The following is a 14,121-nucleotide window of genomic DNA, read 5'->3' on the forward strand; positions in this document are numbered from 1 at the left end:
GAATCCTTGATTTTTAAAGCTCTAGATGTTCTGCCTTTCAACTGTGCCAGTTTTTTACATAGATGGGGTTTCTCTATGTTGGTCAGGCTGGTCTCAAACTCCTGACCTCGTGATCCGCCTGCCTCGGCCTCCCAAAGTGCTGGGATAACAGGCGTGAGCCACCGCACCTGGCCTATGTTGAGTTTTAGGCCACAAAAAATTGACCAAAAATTTTTTGACAATTGCATCTTTAACCATGGACATTTTAAGTTTTGTCCTCAGCTGGGCGCGGTGGCTTATGCCTGTAATCTCAGCACTTTGAGAGGCCAAAGCAGGCAGATCATTTGAGGTCGGGAGTCGGAGACCAGCCTGACCAACATGGAGAAACCCCGTCTCTAATAAAAATCCAAAATTTGCTGGGTGTGGTGGCCCATGTCTGTAATCTCAGCTACTCAGGAGGCTGAGGCAGAAGAATCGCTTGAACCCAGGAGGCGGAGGTTGCAGTGAGCTGAGATCGAGCCATTGCACTCCAGCCTGGGCAATAAGAGCAAAACTCCATCTCAAAAAAAAAAAAAAAAAGTTTTGTCCTCTTCCTTCTTGAGGAGTTGCTTTGAAGCTTCACAGCAACCAAGGAATCTATTTCACTGATGAAACAATTCAATCTACTTTAACATATGGCTGGTTATTTAGAATGTCCATTTTGCATACTACTCTCAGTCTTCCAGACTGCTGGAATGTACAAATAAGGTAATAGAAAATCAATTTACAAAGCTTACAGAAACTTTTAACCTTCCGTGGCCTAAGGCTTTTCCAATGGTCCTGAATGAAGGAACCTACAAACCAGCTCTCCTTAATGTGAGCTCCTGGGAGACAAAAATATCAAAGATCAAGGGCTCCAACCTGGAGATTTTGTTTATGAGAAATGCCATCTAATAAAGGACTCCCTACAACCATGTTGAAGAGAACTCCAGCCTGGGCAACATGATGAAACCCCATCTCAACAAAAAGAACAAAAAAAGCAAAAATTAGCTGGCATGCACCTATAGTCCCAGCTACTTGGGAGGCTGAGGTGGGAGGATGGCTTGGGCCCAGGAGGCAGAGGTTGCAGTGAGGTGGGTTGTGCCACTGTACTCCAGCCTGGGCAAAAGAGCCAGACCCTGTCTCAAAATAAAGAAGTTGAGGGAGGCATATCAGATATTCTTAACCAATCCTTGTGCAAGCTAAATTCAAAGGCATTGACTTGCAGATTCACATTTTTCATTTTTAAAAAATGCAGCCCATGGCCGGGCGCAGTGGCTCATGCCTGTAATCCCAGCACTTTGGGAGGCCGAGGCGGGTGGATCACGAGGTCAGGAGATCAAGACCATCCTGGCTAACACGGTGAAACCCCGTCTCTACTAAAAATACAAAAAATTAGCTGAGCGTCGTGGCGGGAGCCTGTAGTCCCAGCTACTCGGGAGGCTGAGGGAGGAGAATGGCTTGAACCCGGGAGGCGGAGCTTGCAGTGAGCCAAGATCCTGCCACTGCACTCCAGCCTGGGCAACAGAGCGAGACTCCGTCTCAAAAAAAAAAAAAAAAAAAACAATCCTGCTTGAGTAGACATCTTCGATCATTCCAGATCTCCAACTGAGGCAGTCCCATTCCCCAAGAAGGAAGAGGACAAAACTTAAAATGTCATGGTTAAAGATGTGATTGTCAAAAAAAAAAAATTGGTCATTTTAGTTTTTGTGGCCGAAATCTCAATAATCATAATTATGACTGATAGCATACCATATACCAGTCATCTTATAGCTCACACGAGGATGAGAAGTAGAAAATTTGTTAGAAAATATCACTCAGGCGGTCGGGCGCGGTGGCTCATGCCTGTAATCCCAGCACTTTGGGAGGCCAAGGCAGGTGGATCACCTGAGGTCAGGAGTTCAAGACCAGGCTGGTCAACATGGTGAAACCCCGTCTCTAGTAAAAATACAAAAATTAGTCGGTTGTGGTTGCAGGCACCTGTAATCCCAGCTACTCAGGAGGCTGAGGCAGGAGAATCACTTGAACCTGGGAGGCAGAGATTGCAGTGAGCAGAGATCACGCCATTACACTCCAGTCTGGGCCACAGAGCAAGACTCCATCTCAAAAAAAAAAAAACACACACACACTAAAAAAGAAAATATCACTCAGGCCAGGTGCAGTGGCTCACACTTATAATCCCAGCACTTTTGGAGGCCAAGGCAGGCGGATCACTTGAGGTCAGGAGTTCGAGACCAGCCCAACATGGCAAAACCTTGTCTCTACTAAAAATACAAAAATTAGGTGGGTGTGATGGCATGCACCTGTAATTCCAACTATTCGGGAGGCTGAGGCACGAGAATCTCTTGAACCCAGGAGGTAGAGATTGCAGTGAGCCAAGATTGTTTCACTGTGCTCCAGCCTGGGTGACAGAGTGAGATGCTGTCTCAAATAATTAAATTAAAAATTAAAAAATGAAACGTTTGAAGAGTTAAAATGCCTCCAAATATTCATACATTGCTTAAAATGGTAATAATGCCTCTAAGCATTTGATCAAATCACAACTTTAATACTACTTTTTTTTTTTTTTGAGACAGAGTCTTGCTCTGTCACCCAGGCTGGAATGCAGTGGTGTGATCTCGGCTCACTGCAAGCTCCACCTCCCAGGTTCATGCCATTCTCCTGCCTTAGCCTCCTGAGTAGCTGGGACTACAGGCGCCCGCCACCACACCCAGCTACTTTTATTTTTGTATTTTTTAGCAGAGACTGGGTTTCACCGTGTTAGCCAGGATGGTCTCGATCTCCTGACCTCAAGATCCGCCCACCTCGGCCTCCCAAAGTGCTGGGATTACCGGCGTGAGCCACAGCGCCCGGCCACAGCTTGAATAGTTCTAAGTGTTGGGGTTTTTTTTCTTCAGGGTTTTTGAACTTTAATACTTCCTTTTTTTTTTTTTTTTTTTTTTGAAACGGAGTCTCGCTCTGTCGCCCAGGCCGGACTGCGGACTGCAGTGGCGCAATCTCGGCTCACTGCAAGCTCCGCTTCCCGGGTTCACGCCATTCTCCCGCCTCAGCCTCCCCAGTAGCTGGGACTACAGGCGCCCGCCACCGCGCCCGGCTAATTTTTTGTATTTTTAGTAGAGATGGGGTTTCACCTTGTTAGCCAGGATGGTCTCGATCTCCTGACCTCATGATCCACCCGCCTCGGCCTCCCAAAGTGCTGGGATTACAGGCGTGAGCCACCGCGCCCGGCCCTGAACTTTAATACTTCTAAGTGTTGGGGTTTTTTTTTTCCCCCTCAGGGTTTTTGTTTGTTTTTTCCTGAGACAGGGTCTCTCTCTTACCCAGGCTGGAGTGCAGGGGCTCCATCATAGCTCACTGCACACTCCAACTCCTGAACTCAATCCTCCCACCTCAGCCTCCCATGTAGCTGGTATTACAGGCATGCAAGACCATGCTCAGCTAATTTTTATATTTTTTTATAAAGATGGGGTCACATTTTGTTGCTCAGGCTGGTCTCAAACTCCTAGGCTCCAGTGATCGCTCACCTTGGCCACCCAAAGTGCTCAGATTCCAGGTGTGAGCCACTGCGCCCAGTCCTGAAATGTTCTTAAATTCTTTCAAAGTAGCAAAATTTATATTAAAACATTCCAAACATGATGAGCTCCCTTGCTCTACAAGGATTTACAAGTAGAATCAATTAGGTGGACAGTTATAGCTGACAGTTGACAGAGAGATAGTTATAGATGGAGGTAGGTATAGAGGGAGGGAGGCAAAAAGAGTTAAGGAACTGGACAGCTGAGAACTGTCTACAGGTTCCAAAAACAAGACAAAGAACCTTTTATTATCTGCCAAACAAGACAGTCTACATTGAGACTGCTCTGCCTTTCGTTTTTATGTGTCAAAGACACTTAAATTGGCCTGTAATCCCAGCACTTTGGGAGAACGAGGTGGGCGGATCACCTGAGGTCAGGAGTTCAAGACCAGCCTGGCCAACATGGTGAAACTCCATCTCTACTAAAAAATACAAAAATTAGCCAGGCATGGTGGCGCACACCTGTGGTCCCAGCTACTACGGAGGCTGAGGCGGGGGGATCACTTGAACCTGAAGGCAGAGGTTGCAGTGAGCCGAGATTGTGCCACTGCACTCCAGCACGGGCAACAGAACAAAGACCCTGTTAAAAAAAAAAAAAAAAAACTTAAATGAGTCCCAAGAAAAAAGGAAAAAAGAATGAATATTGTGATGTGTGGGGCAAGACAAGATCTAGATGGTCTAAGGACAAGCAAATCTGGGGAATTAACTTCTGCCCATCCAAATTACAAGGAAAACAGATGCTTTGGGCAAGTGTCGAGGAACAGTCTCATACTTAAGACAAATGTAGGCTTACGGGCTGAGAATTCTTGGTGTAAAGGTTGAAAACGGACCTTAAACCTTTACGGGACATTGACACAGAGAGGTCAAACCCGCGCCCAGGACGCACAGTCAGTGAGAGGCAGAGCTGGGAAGGGAACCCGGAGCTCCAGGCATCGGCTCCTCCACCTCCACCTGCGCTACCCGGTGCATTTTCTCCTCCGTGCTCACTGCTGGTGTTGCCTCTTGGAACCTCGGCAGTTTCTGCTTTCGCACCTGCAGGGTTTAGTCTCCGGGACTGCTTGGGAGGACACCTGGAATGCCGAAGGCAGGACTACACACCGGGCGAATCCACCAGCGCCACCAAGCCCTTGAAAACCCGAGGCCGCCGCGCGACTCCATTTCCCAGCGCCCCGCGCGGCAGGGGCTTGGACGTTGCCAAGGAGACCGGTAGTGGCCCCGCCTCCACGCAGGGAAACAGGCGGGAACCACGTGACCCGGAAGGCTGTACGCAAGCGTCCGCGGCGCGCACTGGGCCAATGAGAACCGAAGGGCTGGACTTCCGGCGGTGGGACTGTCACTTCGCCGCCCGCGTCAGGCCACACCGGTGGTCTGGGCTGGGGACCGCGGGTCGGGTCCGGTTTCCAGGGGGTTCCTGGTGCTCGAGGCTGGCGGCGAGGAAGGTACTGGCTGAGGGCCCGCGTCGGGCCCGCCCTGCGCACGCGTCGTGATCAAGGGCGCCGGCCGCCGGCCGCGCCCCCAAGCCTCTGTTTCTCAGAGTGCGTCGTGGGCGTCCAGGGGACTGTCGGGCCGCGGCGGGAGCCATGCGCTCTCCCACCGTGCGGCAGCCCAGGAGGCTGCGCGCTGGGCGTTCCACGTCCATGATGGCCGGGGAGACTGAGGCGCGGGGCGGCCCCGGGACGCTGCTGGCGGGGAAAGGCTGGGTGGTCCACGCCTTTCTTCCCTCCCAGCTGCGGGTTCCGCTGGCGGCGGTGGCGCTGACAAGCCCGCGTCGGGGAAGCAGGGGAGTCCCTGCTCACACAGACCGCGCCCTCACGGAGGGAGGCCGCTTCCTAGACCTCGCCTAGTCGTCTTTCCTCTCCCTGCCCTGGGGGGGTTGCGGGGGTCAGTGCAAACTCCTGCGTCCAGGGCACTGGTGAGCTCCCGAGTTCGGGCAGCCAGGGGGCTGAGGTCCCGAAGGAGGCTCCGAGGGGAGAGTCCTGCGTGTGCAAAACCTGGGAGGGGAGCCGAAGCCCAGGTGCTTCTGGGACTGAGCTCTCTCGATGTGGAGCTGGAGTAGAGGGGATGTGTGCGGCTGCAGTATCAGGCGAGGGAGTGGGCTTTATCTCGAGGGCGTCGGGAGACATAGAAGTTTTGAACAGAATCAGGACATCCTCTGAGGACTTTAAAACGGTTCCACCGTTTGTTGCGTGGAGAACAGACATGCAGGGGTGTCGGCATGAAGGGAAGAACCGACTGCCACAGTCTGGGCAGCAGTGGAGGTGGGCGACCAGGTGAATTCTGGTGGATCTGCGGATGCATCAGGTGTGGGCTGTTTGAAGAACTAAGTACCCCATGTTGTTCAGCCTGAGCGCCTGGAAGAAGAGAGCTGCTGTAGATAGAAAGGAGAATTGAAAGGAAAGCAGGTTTCCTTCAGGGGAAAGATCAAGAGTCTGGGATGTCCCAGGTTGGTCATGTCACTGGACCTGACGTTGTTGGCGTCCTGGGCTGTGGACAGGGCCTATGAATTGGACTGAGGAATGGGCAGGGACTCAGCCAGGTGTGGGCAGTTATGGCTTGAGGGTAAAGAAGACCAGCTGGGATGCCTGGGGCTATTGGGAAGAGCCTAGCACCTAACTGAGGAGGGGAGGGTGGCAACAGAGAGGGGAAGAAAGGGGACACCGGGTGAAAGGAGGAAGGGATTGAGTTCCTCTGTGTTCACAGGTTGTTGAGGCTGCTCCCCTGTGGCGACTGGTGAGAATCATCCAGTCCCTCAGGCTGGATGAGCAGCCTGGAAATGTCAGGCAAGCAGGCTCAGCAGGGGAGGGTCCCAGTGATGGGTATGCCTGGGAAGCCCCTGCTGGGACTCACAGTTTCTTGCTACAAGAGCAGGAAGGGTGCATCTGGGGAGGGTCATGAGTGGTCATGCTGAGTCACGAGTGGACACCTGGGGCTGCTCTTGGTGTGGCAGCTGAGGGCCCAGCCAGGACTTGTTCTAGCTTGCTTGTGTATGGCGTTGCCAGTGGGGAGGCCAAGAAGGCATCTGGGGTCTGGTCAGGGAGGGCAGAGGGGAGGGGTCCCAGACATGTGAGGGAAGTGCCATCTGAAGATGGTGGGGGCAGAACCCAGGGAAGGAGGGTGAGTGTCTGAGGGACATCATGGAAGGTGGCTGTTGGGATGGGGAGCTTGGTCCTGGCTCACAGCCATACCTTAAACTAAGCTTGTCCAACCCACTGCCCAGGATGGCTTTGAATGCAGCCCAAAACAAGTTCGTGAACTTTCTTAAAACATGAGATGTTTATGCAATTTTTATTTTTTTTAGCTCATCAGCTGTTATTAGTGTTAATGTATTTTATGTGTTGCCCAAGACAATTCTTCTTCCAATGTGGCCCAGGGAAGCCAAAAGATTGGATAACCCAGCCTTAGACCATGGCTGTCTCTTCCTCCCTGCTCTTTTAGGACCAGATGGCCTTTGAGGATGTGGCTGTGTACTTCTCCCAGGAGGAGTGGGGGCTCCTGGACACAGCCCAGAGGGCCCTGTACCGCCGCGTGATGCTAGACAACTTCGCACTTGTGGCCTCGCTGGGTAAGGTCCTAGATACTCCATGAAATGGGCAACTGATAACAAGCTGACTGGCCAGGGCTGCCCCCTCACCTCCCTGGTGGCTGACGAGCAGGCCTATACCTTGCAGCCAGGAGCCATGTGGAATAGGGGTCTGGTCCTATAGACATGCAGTCTGGTTGGCTCAACCACTCCCTGTGGCGCTGTCCGGCTGTGGCCTCTCCGAGCCTTGGCTCAGTCCCCTTCCTTTGGTGCCCTGGGCACAGTTGCTGCCCTGGGGATGAATGAGCTATTCCTGTGAGCCCCTTGCCCTGTGCCATCTTTAGATTCTGCAGTTGCACAGATGACATTTTCTGTTTCCGTGAAGCCCTGACTCCTGCCCTCTGTTTGGAGGTGGGTTATCTTGAGCTGGGGCTGGACTCTAACCTGCACCTCCTCCTCACAGGACTCTCCACCTCTCGACCTCGTGTGGTCATCCAACTGGAGCGTGGCGAGGAGCCCTGGGTTCCCAGTGGAACGGACACAACCCTGTCCAGGACCACCTACAGGAGGCGCAACCCTGGTGAGAGGGAGCTCAGGGTGGGGTGAATTCAGGACCAACCTGTGGTCATGCCTCTGTCCCTGGTTCCCAGACTCCCCAGAAGCACCCTCCTCCCCTCCCTCCCACCCGATTCCCTTCCCTTCCATCATCAGCCCCTCCTGGAGGCTGCAGCCTTAGCTGCCCTTGAAGGTGGAGCTCCAAGGGCACAGGAGCGGGGTTGACACAGAAGGGCACTCAGGCTATGGTGAGACCATCTCAGAGTCCTGCTATCAGCTGGGCTGGCCTCAAACCCTCCATGGCTAGTCACTGCCATAATTGATGGGTCATTTTTTTCACCCTTCATCTTTGTGTTCAGCAAACATTTCCTGAGTGCTCACAGTGGTCAGGCCCAGTCCAGGCAATGTAGACACAGCCTCAATCAGGACGACCCTGGTCCTGCTTTTCTGGGGCTCATGGTGTGGTGGGAGAGGCAGTCGGTAAGCAGGATTCAGGAGTATAGTCTAGAGCACTGGATGGAGGTCATTGCAGGAGCAGGTTGGGGAGTGGGTGCCTGAGAAGGGGGACAGGGGCGGGGGGAAGGGGGTAAGCAATGGAAAGAGTGTGGGTGGAATAGCCAGTGTGGAGATGTATGCAGCATACAGCAGCCGCTAGTTTTCCTCAGCTTCACATCCTGGGTGTCGGGGGGCTGCCACCTTGATCATGGGAGTGCCCAGTGTAGTCAGTGCCATACCTATCAGGGCAGATTGTTCCTCCAAACCCCAGCCCCTCCTGCAGGGCCAGCCTCACCTCTACTTTTCCCCTAAGCTTTTGTGCCAGCTCCGGGGTTCCTTCTTGCCTGTCCACTCAGCCTGCCCTGGTCCTCTCCTAACCAGGATGCCCCAGGCAACCACTGTTTCTCTGCCTTTAGGTTCCTGGAGTTTGACAGAGGATAGAGATGTTTCTGGAGAATGGCCACGAGCTTTCCCAGATACCCCACCTGGGATGACTACTAGCGTCTTCCCTGTTGCCGGTGCCTGCCACAGTGTAAAAAGCCTGCAGAGACAACGGGGTGCCTCCCCATCTCGGGAGAGAAAACCCACGGGGGTGTCGGTGATCTACTGGGAGAGGCTCCTGCTAGGCTCAGGCAGTGGGCAAGCCAGCGTCAGCCTGCGACTGACCTCCCCGCTTAGGCCTCCCGAGGGCGTCCGGCTTAGAGAAAAGACACTCACAGAGCATGCGTTGCTGGGGAGGCAGCCCAGGACGCCTGAGCGGCAGAAACCATGTGCACAGGAGGTCCCTGGGAGAACCTTTGGGAGCGCCCAGGACCTGGAGGCTGCCGGCGGTCGGGGACATCACCGAATGGGTGCAGTTTGGCAGGAGCCTCATAGACTCCTCGGTGGCCAGGAGCCCTCGACCTGGGACGAGCTGGGCGAGGCTCTTCACGCTGGGGAGAAGTCCTTCGAATGCAGGGCGTGCAGCAAAGTGTTCGTGAAGAGCTCCGACCTCCTCAAGCACCTACGCACCCACACCGGGGAGCGGCCCTACGAGTGCGCCCAGTGCGGCAAGGCCTTCAGCCAGACGTCGCACTTGACGCAGCACCAGCGCATCCACAGCGGCGAGACGCCCTACGCGTGCCCCGTGTGCGGCAAGGCCTTCCGGCATAGCTCCTCGCTGGTGCGGCACCAGCGCATCCACACGGCCGAGAAGTCCTTCCGCTGCTCCGAGTGCGGCAAGGCCTTCAGCCACGGCTCCAACCTCAGCCAGCACCGCAAGATCCACGCGGGTGGGCGTCCTTATGCTTGCGCACAGTGTGGCCGCCGCTTCTGCCGCAACTCGCACCTGATCCAGCACGAGCGTACGCACACAGGCGAGAAGCCCTTCGTGTGCGCGCTCTGCGGTGCTGCCTTCAGCCAGGGCTCCTCGCTCTTTAAGCACCAGCGCGTGCACACAGGCGAGAAGCCCTTCGCCTGCCCACAGTGCGGCCGCGCCTTTAGCCACAGCTCCAACCTCACCCAGCACCAGCTCCTGCACACGGGCGAGCGGCCCTTCCGCTGCGTGGACTGTGGCAAGGCCTTCGCCAAGGGCGCCGTGCTGCTCAGCCACCGGCGCATTCACACGGGCGAGAAGCCCTTCGTGTGTACGCAGTGTGGCCGCGCCTTCCGTGAGCGCCCGGCCCTCTTCCACCACCAGAGGATCCATACCGGCGAGAAGACCGTCCGGCGATCCAGGGCCAGCCTGCACCCCCAGGCCAGGTCTGTTGCCGGGGCATCATCAGAAGGTGCGCCAGCGAAGGAAACCGAGCCCACTCCCGCCTCGGGCCCAGCCGCCGTCTCGCAGCCAGCGGAGGTCTGAGGTCACAGGTTGCAGCCCTGGCCTTCTGTGAATCCCTTCCACAGCTAAAGGGCATATGTCCTCTGCAGATCCACAGCAGAGAAAAAGTCCCGTGCTTGCTAGTCAGGGACAAGGGAGGCCCTTTGGCTGTGATTTCATTTGCACGTGGGGACAGGATTTGCCAGTTCACCCACAGATCACACCTCCATCCCCAAAGAGGTAGCACTGCAGCAACATCAGGGGGAGGACGTGGTGGCTGAACTCTAGTGGGGCCGAGACTATTCAGAGCCAGTAGGAGGCCGACAGTCACAGCACTGCACTGTGGTGCGGCTTCATGTGATATGACAGTGGATGCTAAGGTGAGAGGGATGCAGGCATGGGTTGGGGGTGGCCCAGAGAAACTTATGACAGCTGTACACAAACTGGCCGCTGGAGAGATGCCCGCTGAGGGTATTCTCCCCTCAACCCACTGCCTCTGTTCATCCAAGACTTCCTAGGGGCCAGCCTAGCAGACAAGAGACCACAAGGGACTGGGGATCAGGGTCTGGGCTCTGTCAGCCGCCACCTCTGGGAAAGAGAAAAGGTTTGGGTCCACTGAACATCATGTTTGTAGACGCTGACAGGTGGGGTCCTAATGAGAGCCAACACATGCTCACTGCCAGCTCCTGTCCTGAGTACTGGGAAGTTTCTCCTGAAGCCCTGTGAGATGGCTCTGTGGCTGGTATCCCGACTTGGAAGATGAGGAAACTGAGGCACACGGCCTGGCCTGGCTTCACACACATAGCCGACTCAGGAGAGGGATGCCCATGGGGGAACATGTGACTCTCAGCATTGGAAGGACAGAGCTAGGATGATGGCTTTCCGGTGGCACTCGTTCAGGTTTTTGCCCAAGTCTCAGCTTGGCCAAGGCCTGTCACTGACTGGTTTACCAAAGTCGATGTGAGGAGGAGGCTTTATACCTGAGGGGATGATGTTAACTTCAGACAAGATGGAGCTGCTCACTTTTGCCGGGTTTGGTGGCCACTTCACCCCCAACCCTGTCTCACCCCCATTATCCCTCCTCAATTGGAGGCTGGACAGAGCTGAATAGGAAAGACTTGCTATTGCCTAAGGCTATGTGTGACACCCTCCTGAGGACCTCCCCACCCCAGTGTAATGGCCCTTCATGGCAGGGACAGAAAGGTGGACTGGGGGCCATTTGCTTCCTGTGGCCTTCAGCAGACCAGGCCCTGTCCCTACCTGGAGCCTCACCTCCAAGGAAATTCATGTTCTCCTTAATGGAAAAAAAAAAAAAAAGACTACCATCTGCAACTCAGAGTAGGTGTTGCAGTTTCCTGTACAGCAGTTTGGACCTCCAGAGCACAGCCTCTTGTCCCTACTCCAGAGCATGGTTCAGTCTTAATAGCAGTTCAAGAGCTTCTCTGATAAAGGTTTCTTTTTAAACATTTGTGTGAACGGTAGCAACCTGACACCTATTTCACCCTCATACAATGCAGATGGTATTGAACATACCCTGACATGCCATCAGCGTTTGTCATCATCACAGAAGTTCCTGGACTTGGCTTCAACCTGGGTACCCTCAAGAGGCCACAGAGTAGAGATACAGCCTGTCTGCAGCCCAGGGAGGGAGTGGGATACCTGTATCCTTTTCAGGGTCAGAGGTGGGTTGGGGTAGCCAGGAGCTGGATGAACTGGGATAGAGTGGGGCTGTCTGGAGCAGCAGCCCTGCTAGATGAGTCCTGGTGGATCCTGGCAATGGGAGGATGGTAGGTGGAGAAACCAAGGCAGGGCTGTGTTCCTTCTGCTGCTGAGATAGAGGGTGTGGCCATGTGTGATGACCCTGCAAGGTTGACTCCAACCAGTGGGCACTCCATCCCATGGCTTCCAAAATCCTGCAGCTATCCTGCCCTATACACAAAGAGCCCAGATCCAGGCCCCACACACTTGATATTGGGGCCAGACTCTTCCACCTGTGAAACCTCACAGGTTCCTGCAGGGAGTGGAGACACACAGAACCTAGCTCCCCTGGAGCCTGCAAGACTTGGGCCACCAGAATCCCAGTAGGTCCCTGAACCATTGTCCCCCAGTAAGTCTGCAGAGCTGTGAAATGCAGACAATAACCCTTCCCTGCCTGAAAGAGCACTTTTCTGGGGAGCCCATGGGAGTCAGGAGCAAAAGCATCTGTCAAACAAGTAGATACCCAGAGAGTCACGTGAAATCATTTCTATGCCTCTGACAGACGCTTCTTGAGCGAAGTTTCTGCCCTGAGCCCGCCTGACCCCTTAGGCTGGGCTCAGTACCCTACCTTGTCTTCCCACCAGCCGCCTCCCTCCATCAAGTTCCTTTCCACGTCTGCTTGTGCCCCTGTTGTCCCTCAGTTTGTCCACCCTCCTCCAATCTTCCCCTCCCCAAACCCATGACTGATCAGTGGCCCCCAACCTAGGCTCCCACCTCCATGCAGGTCTTGGCCCCTCGGCTGACCTCCCTCCAACCTCCCCCTCTGCTCTTAATTTTGAATAGGTAGTGACTGTAAAAGTATCCCTGGGCTTCTATGTCAAAAGGTCAGACTGAACACATGCATCTCACTGGGCTCAGAAATCCACTGAAACCACAGAGGGGAGTATTTAAAACACATAACCCACAAGTATGAGGATGGTGACAGAGGAGTCAGGAGCAATGGCATTCCTAAGCTAGAAGTGGGTGAGAGCTGTCACTAAGTTAGGGAAGGCAAAATACTACGTGGCGACTTGGCGAAGAGGAGAGAGTTCCCACCAGGCTGACTCCAGAACCGCAGAAGGCTGAGAACCAGCAGCCCAGAGACGGGAGACCTATATCAAAGCTGCCTGGGGAACAACTACTGAAGAAGCCCTTAACGCCCCAGTGCTCTCCCCACATGGTGGAGGGTGAAAGTTTTTGTTTTTTTTTCCTTCTGGGACTCTGCATAGTCCCAGAGAAAAGGCCTAAGCACCTCATCCCCAAAAACAACCTGAGGAGGCCGTTGGAAAGCTCCGAGTTGACAAGTCTCATCCACGCACATGCTCGGTGCTTCCAATCGGTGATCAAGACCACTGCTCTTCATCCAGAGCAGGCAGCAGGGATTCCCAGGTATCCAAAGAAACCAAAACAGGCGGTGTAATTTAGGACTGACTAAGTAATGGCTCGGCCACTTTTAAGTGTGGAAGCAAAACTGACCCCACAGATTTAGAAAACTGTAACACTGCTTATTGGGAGAAACTAGTGTCACCCTGGCTAGTTCTGCTCCCCAAATTCAAAGGTAAATAAACGGTTGAGCATGTCCGATCAGCCTGGAGGGAAACCTCCACCCCCGACTTTGTAGGACTGACATCTGAAGACGTCAGAGACTGCGGTCACAACCGTCGGTACCTCCTTAGGGCGCTTAACAGAGGTCAAAGATGGCCCTCGCACCCTCCTGGCGGGAGAAAGCCCAGGCTCAGGGTGGTCTTCTACACCACCGCCTCTCCCGGGTCCACTTGGAAGCGAGTCCCAGCGAACTACTCGACCTAGGAAACCACTGGGCCGCCACTTCCAGCCTCTTCGGAAGTCGAGGCAACGCTCCTGAACGTTGCCACGGGAACAGCTGGAGGCGGGCGGATATGCCCTAGCGTTATCTAGGGGCTGGCCCGGGGAATGGCGTGGGGGCGGCGGGGCCAAGCAAGCGCCACCTCTGATTGGGCAAAACCCCCTCCCCTCACCTGCCAATAGAAACCGGCCCACTGTACAGACGCGCAAGTTTATAACCCGGGAAGAGCTGCTCTCAGAGCGGAGGGAGACCATATAACCCTGGGACTCTGCCGTACCTCCTAGAGGAACAGAGCGCCTCTCAGGCGTCAGAGGCTGCTGCAAATGCGGGTCAGCGGGTCACGGTCGCGCCTGTCTTGCTGATGCTCATGGGAAATGTAGTTCAAAGGGCATGGGCGGTGCCTTCGGTGCAGGCGAGAGATTGGTCAGCGCGGCGTCGCCGGGGCAACACCCGGCTGAGGCGCCCCGCGTTGTGCGGCGCCACATCCGGGAAGCGGCCTCCAAGCAACCGCTCCGGGTTGAGGTGAGCGCAGGCTGCCAGAGTGGGCGCAGCCTTTCCACCCCGTGGGAGGGCTTGGGGTCGCCCTCTGGGGCCTGAACGGCTCCTGCTGTCGGCGCCCTGGA

The 14,121-nt window shown here is 54.8% G+C and overlaps 1 protein-coding gene across 2 annotated transcripts, besides 10 other annotated features; it reads left to right on the forward strand.

The window, feature by feature from the left end:
* Positions 4,635-5,251: an enhancer, noted in NCBI's record as "H3K27ac-H3K4me1 hESC enhancer chr19:58978178-58978794 (GRCh37/hg19 assembly coordinates)". NCBI's record gives its function as "activates a minimal SCP1, AML or CMV promoter by ChIP-STARR-seq in primed H9 embryonic stem cells {active_cell/tissue: H9 hESC(primed)}" and the evidence as "EXISTENCE:reporter gene assay evidence [ECO:0000049][PMID:30033119]".
* Positions 4,894-4,943: a silencer, noted in NCBI's record as "silent region_11084". NCBI's record gives its function as "represses an Ori minimal core promoter by ATAC-STARR-seq in GM12878 lymphoblastoid cells {active_cell/tissue: GM12878}" and the evidence as "EXISTENCE:reporter gene assay evidence [ECO:0000049][PMID:35858748]".
* Positions 4,904-13,260, forward strand: ZNF324 (zinc finger protein 324). Of its 2 annotated transcripts, none has more exons than XM_005258713.5 (4): positions 4,904-6,011; positions 7,004-7,130; positions 7,552-7,668; positions 8,555-13,260. In XM_005258713.5, exons 1-4 carry the CDS (start codon positions 6,003-6,005, stop codon positions 9,976-9,978), a joined length of 1,677 nt encoding a protein of 558 aa, XP_005258770.1. In that variant the 5' UTR covers positions 4,904-6,002; the 3' UTR covers positions 9,979-13,260. The 2 variants fall into 2 exon arrangements, with proteins under 2 accessions (XP_005258770.1, NP_055162.1); NM_014347.3 differs by having other exon boundaries at positions 4,904-5,007.
* Positions 5,024-5,153: a silencer, noted in NCBI's record as "silent region_11085". NCBI's record gives its function as "represses an Ori minimal core promoter by ATAC-STARR-seq in GM12878 lymphoblastoid cells {active_cell/tissue: GM12878}" and the evidence as "EXISTENCE:reporter gene assay evidence [ECO:0000049][PMID:35858748]".
* Positions 5,252-5,866: an enhancer, noted in NCBI's record as "H3K27ac-H3K4me1 hESC enhancer chr19:58978795-58979409 (GRCh37/hg19 assembly coordinates)". NCBI's record gives its function as "activates a minimal SCP1, AML or CMV promoter by ChIP-STARR-seq in primed H9 embryonic stem cells {active_cell/tissue: H9 hESC(primed)}" and the evidence as "EXISTENCE:reporter gene assay evidence [ECO:0000049][PMID:30033119]".
* Positions 6,285-6,404: an enhancer, noted in NCBI's record as "active region_15199". NCBI's record gives its function as "activates an Ori minimal core promoter by ATAC-STARR-seq in GM12878 lymphoblastoid cells {active_cell/tissue: GM12878}" and the evidence as "EXISTENCE:reporter gene assay evidence [ECO:0000049][PMID:35858748]".
* Positions 13,265-13,354: an enhancer, noted in NCBI's record as "active region_15200". NCBI's record gives its function as "activates an Ori minimal core promoter by ATAC-STARR-seq in GM12878 lymphoblastoid cells {active_cell/tissue: GM12878}" and the evidence as "EXISTENCE:reporter gene assay evidence [ECO:0000049][PMID:35858748]".
* Positions 13,415-13,474: an enhancer, noted in NCBI's record as "active region_15201". NCBI's record gives its function as "activates an Ori minimal core promoter by ATAC-STARR-seq in GM12878 lymphoblastoid cells {active_cell/tissue: GM12878}" and the evidence as "EXISTENCE:reporter gene assay evidence [ECO:0000049][PMID:35858748]".
* Positions 13,715-13,964: an enhancer, noted in NCBI's record as "active region_15202". NCBI's record gives its function as "activates an Ori minimal core promoter by ATAC-STARR-seq in GM12878 lymphoblastoid cells {active_cell/tissue: GM12878}" and the evidence as "EXISTENCE:reporter gene assay evidence [ECO:0000049][PMID:35858748]".
* Positions 13,715-14,080: a biological region, named in NCBI's record as "Sharpr-MPRA regulatory region 9894".
* Positions 13,786-14,080: an enhancer, noted in NCBI's record as "tiled region #9894; K562 Activating DNase unmatched - State 1:Tss, and HepG2 Activating DNase matched - State 1:Tss". NCBI's record gives its function as "activates a minimal TATA promoter and a strong SV40 promoter by Sharpr-MPRA in K562 cells, with weaker activation in HepG2 cells {active_cell/tissue: HepG2 | K562}" and the evidence as "EXISTENCE:reporter gene assay evidence [ECO:0000049][PMID:27701403]".

Source organism: Homo sapiens, chromosome 19, assembly GCF_000001405.40.
Source record: "Homo sapiens chromosome 19, GRCh38.p14 Primary Assembly".
Lineage (NCBI taxonomy): Eukaryota > Metazoa > Chordata > Mammalia > Primates > Hominidae > Homo > Homo sapiens.

Coding starts and splice junctions, on each gene's coding strand:
- ZNF324 (XM_005258713.5), top strand. Junction 7,131..7,551: donor CGCACTTGTGGCCTCGCTGG/GTAAGGTCCTAG, acceptor TCCTCCTCACAG/GACTCTCCACCTCTCGACCT. Junction 7,669..8,554: donor CTACAGGAGGCGCAACCCTG/GTGAGAGGGAGC, acceptor CTCTGCCTTTAG/GTTCCTGGAGTTTGACAGAG.